The sequence below is a fragment of the Homo sapiens genome, chromosome 13 (assembly GCF_000001405.40).
Source record: "Homo sapiens chromosome 13, GRCh38.p14 Primary Assembly".
Taxonomy (NCBI): Eukaryota; Metazoa; Chordata; class Mammalia; order Primates; family Hominidae; genus Homo; species Homo sapiens.
Window position 1 is genome coordinate 47,520,711 of NC_000013.11, and position 6,246 is coordinate 47,526,956.

The window sequence follows — 6,246 nt, forward strand, 5'->3', positions numbered from 1 at the left end:
CTGGGGTGCAGTGGCATGATCTCGGCTCACTGCAACCTCTGCCTCCCAGGTTCAAATGATTCTCCTGTCTCAGCCTCCTGAGTAGCTGGGATTACAGGCGTGTGCCACCACGCCCAGCTAATTTTTTGTATTTTAGTAGAGACAAGTGTTTCACCATGTTGCCCAGGCTGGTCTCGAACTCCTGAGCTCAGGCAATCCACCCACCTCAGCCTCCCAAAGTGCTAGTGTGTCTGAAGTTAGTTCCTTCCAGTGGGTTCTTGGTCTCGCTGACTTCAAGAATGAAGCCACAGACCTTCATGGTGAGTGTTACGGCTCTTAAAGGTGGCATGGACCCAAAGAGTGAGCAGCAGCTAGATTTATTGTGAAGAGCGAAAGAGCAAAGCTTCCACAATGTGCAATGGGACCCCAGCAGGCTGCCGCTGCTGGCTGGGGTGGCCAGCTATTATTTCCTTATTTGTCCCTGCCCATGTCCTGCTGATTGGTCCATTTTACAGAGCTCTGATTGGTCCATTTTACAGAGTGCTGATTGGTGCATTTACAATCCTCTAGCTAGACACAGGGCACTGATTGGCGCGTTTACAATCCTCCAGCTAGACAGAAAAGTTCTCCAAGTGCCCACTTGACCCAGGAAGTCCAACTGGCTTCATCTGTCAATCCCCCCTCTAAACAGGACACCCCAACTGCTGTTGGGAATTGGGTGATGACCGCTCTAGCTACTTACTGCTGGATAGGGGCGAAGAAGGGGCCCTGCAGTGTTAGTGTCCTCCAGAGGGGAACTCTCTAGGCCAGCCAAAGGGTCAGTGGGTTGGTCCAGGGGGTCCTCGGTAGAAGTTGTTAGTTGAGCTCATTTGGGGTTCCATTCGTAAGACCATCAGTAGCTTGATGGCCTCGATCCTGGAGGAAACAAATTTGATAAGGAGGTTAAAAACACAGAGCCCGAAGGCGAGTAATAGCAAGATGGCTGTCACAGGACCTAGAAAGGGGAGAAGCCATGTTGCCCAACTCCAGAGGTTGGTATAAGAGTTTGAAAGGTGTTGCCTGATGTCAGAAGCCTTTTCCTGTAAATGCTGGGTGGCATCTCGTATGATCCCTGACTGGTTAGTGTAAAAACAACACTCTTCCCCTAAGAAGGGGCAAAGTCCTCCTTTCTCAGCAGTAAGGAGGTCTAGGCCTCAGCGGTTTTGGAGAGTCACTGCTGCCAAAGAGTCTATTTGGGACCGTAGAGTAAGGATAGATTTTGTTATTTCTTGCAAACTGTCTGAGAAATCCTTTGATAGTGTGTGGTAGTAGGATAATGCAGTAGATAAACCTACTATTCTGGTTTCTGTAGCAGTAGCCATTCCTAACCCTATAAGTAGGGGTATTAGTTGTATGGCCCTGCACTGATGGACTTGAGCTTTGAGGAGCACTGATAGGGTCTGACTAGGATTACAGGCTTGAGCCACCACACCCAGCCCAAACTGAGATATTTTTTATAGTAACAGCAATGTTTATTAAAAAGTAGAGTCAAGATAACATGAGTAAACAAAAATGTAAGTCATCCTATTTCTGGGACACCCACTTCTCATAGCCACGGCAACCAGAAATAGACATCAGAGGTGACATGGACTCCAAAAATAGTTGTGACATATCAGCTTTACCAGAATTTATGATACTATGAAACTTTGACCAAGAAGATCTCAGGGTAAGTGTATTTTATAAATTCTGGTACTTTAAAATAGCAGAAAGTAACTAACTTTTCTTATTCAGGATAATTTTTTATTTCAAAATTCTGAAGTAATCATCCAATTCCTTCATTAAACTGGAATTAAGTGTTGGAGATAAAGTGGACTATTGGCATGATCTTAGAGAACTAAGTTTTATACCAAGTTTTGTAAATAAATAAAAGTATGTTTCAATATTGATTTTTAACTTCTAAGCTTTCCCAGGACAGATTTCTTCCCCAAATCTCCACATTTTAGTGCAATTTATAATTTTTGCAAAGTGTCAGCTGGGAACATTTGTATCTAAAACACAGTTTAAAGATTGAAAAGGGGCTGGACATGATGGCTCACTCCTGTAATTCCAACAGTTTTGGGAGGCCAAGGTGGGAGGATCACTCTAGCCCAGAAATTCAAGCCCAGCCTAGGCAACAGAGGGAGACCCCATCTCTACAAAAAATTTTTTAAAAAATCACCCAGGCATGGTGGTGTGCGTGTGTGGTCACAGCTCCTTGGGAAACTGAGGTGGGAAGATTGTTGAGCCCAGACAATGTAGGCTGCAGTGAGCTGTGATCCCAACACTGCACTCCAGCCTGCAGAGCTTAGCTAGAGCCTATCAATCAATCAATCAAATCAATGGATGCTAAATGTTTAAAAGCTATATAACCTTGTTGCTCCAAGCATTGATAATTTAGGAGTTCTTAATACCTCCTTCCATATTCAAGTCATTAATAAGTTATTTCGTATTCTTTCCCAAGTCTCTCTGAATTTTTTTCACCTTTCTCTGGTTCCATTATTGTCCCCTAAGCCCCAAATATGCCATTATCTCTAGCCTGGTCTACTGCAGCATTCTCCTAATTAGCTTCTCCTATCTACCTTTGCCCCTTTCCAATCCATTCTCCACATGGTACCAGAATAACCTTTTCAAAATGCAAATCTAGTTATATTACACCCCCACCCCACACAGAACTCTTCAAAAGCTTTTTATTTTCCCATAGCTAAAGGCCAAAATGTTTCACATGGCCATTAGCACCCTACTTGCTCTGGACCCTCAGAGCAAAATAATGTATTATCTTTGCTACAGTCAGAAAATACTGTTTTCTATATTTTTCTATTCATCTGGCTGAGTTTCTTAACAAATATATTACCTTTTTCCAAGATGCATTTTATTAGAAACAACTCTAATCAGCAGAGTCTACATACTTCATACCAGTTTGCTTTGGTCTACTATTTTACTGCTTTGAAGCAGCTTTAATTAATGGTTTGCTGTTTTCTCTGGAAAGCAAACACTTTACTCCAAAGAGAATGAAAAACCCCTGAGATAAATTGTACAATAATCAAGAAGCTGAATACAGTTTTCTCTAGGAATTGAAATCATTTCCTGAGAAATTCAATGTGCCTGTTTCACTGGAAGAAATTCTATTGCCAGCACTTTATTTATTGATTCTCTTAGGCTTGTGTGATCTTTTGTTCCATAAAATTGGGCAGTTTCAAGGTTTGATATACCTCAGCCAACTAACAGCAAGAAAACAATCTACCCATTTTCGGCACCATGCAGCAAAAAGTTGTCCTGAGCCTGACCTAGCCTGGGAACCTTACCTCTTCTCATCCTTTGTTCTCCTCTTTAATGCTAATCATGTGAACTGTGCTAAAAAAGCCAAGCCAAAAAAGTGAAATCCTGCTCTCAGCCCCAAGGACCTGTCACCTTTTATATGAAACTCAGCTTAACTGAGATCTAAGAGGTTCAGTTCTATAGAAGGTTTTACAGAATGACTGTCTGCTCCCAGGAAAGCTAACTTGGGGTCAGGCAACTAGATAATAGAGGAAGCTACCAATCTGCTTGAAAGACTTTTTATAAATCTTTTATATGCTGAGGTTTTAGGGGTTTTGTCCCAGCAGCCCAAGATCTTTGCCATGATTTCCAATATAGTCTTCCTTTGGATGTAACAGGGCTTTACTCATATTCAAGTTACTTTTTTTTTGGTGTATTCTCTTTATTCTGATCATTCTGATCATTTCCTTTATGTATTTCAAATACTGATATTAGACCTTAGAAGCTTTAATTATGTTTATGTGCATAGTATTATCTTCCCCAGAATCTTGTCTTTGAATCTGTTCATTTACAACTGTGTCCTTAGTGTTACATGTAACAATATTGATCCTCACGCTTGTGCCTTAGTAACACTGGTGGAACATTCCTTGTGAATAATGGCTGCATTCATTTTCTATTGCTGCAGTAACAAATGACCAGAAGCTTAGTGGTTTAAAACAACACAAATTTATTTTCTCAGAGTTCTGGAAGTTGGAAGTCTGAAATGTTTCTCACTGGGCTTAAATCAAGGTGCCAGCAGGGCTTGTTTTTCCCTGGAGGTTCTGAAGGGAGGATCCATTTTTTTTTGCCTCTTTTTGGCTTCTAGTGAGGTCTCATCTTTGGCTTGTGGCCCTTTTCTCCATCCTCAAAGCACTTCACTGCATTCTTCGCTTTTGCCACCACCCCATCTTTTTCTCTGCTGCTAGTCAAATCTCACCCTGCCTCTTTCATATAAGGATTCTTACAATGACATTTAAGGCCCACACAGATAATCCATAATAATCTCCCCAATTCAAGATCCTTAATCACATCTGCAAAGTCTCTAAGGTAACATTTCTACAGGTTCTGGGGAATAGGGCATGGGCATTTGGGGGACCATTATTTAGTCTACCATAATGCCCATATGGTTGATATCTTCACGATCACTCTTTTGGAGAGTCACAGAAAACTTGCAACATGGCCATGGTTCAAACCCCTAGCCAATATAAACTAGGCTCACATAACACTTTCTTGAGATCTTAGTGATAAGGGTCCCCATCTTTCTAGTGATGAGCCAGTAAGCTCATCCTCCTCAGCATCTCACCTGACCACACACAGATGCAGCCTCACCTCTGCCCCAGAAACCAGTGTAGTGCTGAATGAGAGCACCTGGTTTTTAAAATCAAATACTTTACAAATGACAAGAGCAAAAATTGCAAAGTAAAAACAGTTCATACAGGTTACCCATTAGGTAATAGCAAAACATACTGTTTGGGCTCTGCCTTAACTAGGGTAGAAAGGAGGAAAAACAGAACTGAGATCTTAAGATGCCACTTTCTAGTTAATTTCAAAAATATTAGGCTCCAAAATGACAGATTAAAAGAATAATTTGAACTCAATACACAGTCCCTAGATTATTTCACAAACATGAAGGGACCTCCTTGTCTATTTATAAACATCATCTAGTTCACCCTCTGCCTCCAGGATTGTACATATTAATACCAATAACTTTTCCTTAAAAAAGTTTCTAAATATTCAAAGTGGCTGATTCCAATCCTTAATCTTCTCAGGAAAGGACTTCTAAACATGAATGTAGGTGCTTTGCCAATGCTTCAGAATGCAGTGCGGCAGCTCTCTCTCACATCTTGGAGAAGTTATTTTCATCCTGTTGTGCTATCTCACACATGATGGTGCAAAACAGTTAACATAAACTGGTTTACACATTCTGGAGGGAACAAATTTAAAAAGTTAATGCAACTTATTTTTAACTTAAATATGAAATTACTTTCACAAAAAGGACTTAAGAGTATTTAAAATGGCCAAGAGTTTTCTGGATGATTATTGATTATGCCTGATGTTCAATACGTTATGGTATGGTTACAATAAAAATGAAGGATTCATTTATGCAGAATGACATTTTATCAAGCCCACTGGGCAACCATCTTTCTGCCTTTCCTCCACTATAATATTTATATTATTAATGGAAACATTATCTGAAGCCAGTCTCATGCCCATTTCCTGAGGCACTACTCTGGGCATCTTCCTGTGGTTTTAATACATTAATGACCATCTTTATTCTTTTTTTTATGAGAATTTGACCAAAATTGAGCCCTTGTGACAATATTCACATCTGAGCTAATTTGACTTAATTTTCCAAGTTGGCTTCATGAAGCACAGTAGCAAAGTGCTTTATTAAAATCTGGATAATCAAATTAGCCTATTCATCTACTAACCGTGTGCTTGTATCACATGATTAAATTCATTTTTTATAGTAAACTCCTATCAATTATACCAGAGTAGATGAAGTCAATGATCATAAACATTTTGCTTCCCTGTGTTTTCCATGCTAGGTAGAATTTTAAGGTTAGCTTTGGGCATGTAGCCTAAAATACAAACTGCAAATTTAACCTCTGTTGAGGTGATATTTATATTGAAGGGCTCACAGTAGAAATCTAGAATATTAGAAACATTATTTTAAAAGGTACCTCTCTGCTTTAAAAGAAAAGGTCTTTCAACTCCACTGGGCTACATAAAGATACCTCCAAAGTTATAACATGCGTTAATTTTACTTGGGGTGTAGGGTGTAGGGGGATGGTGATGCAAGGTCAATATTTCAACAAAATTGAAAGATTTTACATTCCAAATGTCTTTACTTCTAGAACTTTATTCTCACACAAGTTGAACAGCCTGATCTGCAAGCCTAAGAAGCACTAACAGGATCAAAGACATCCTAAAAAGCCAGCTTTATAAATGGAT

General features: G+C 40.0%; 1 annotated feature.

The window, feature by feature from the left end:
• Positions 625-1,824: an enhancer, noted in NCBI's record as "BRD4-independent group 4 enhancer chr13:48095470-48096669 (GRCh37/hg19 assembly coordinates)". NCBI's record gives its function as "activates an origin of replication core promoter dependent on BRD2, P300/CBP, MED14 and CDK7 cofactors, and independent of BRD4, by STARR-seq in HCT116 cells {active_cell/tissue: HCT116}" and the evidence as "EXISTENCE:reporter gene assay evidence [ECO:0000049][PMID:35650434]".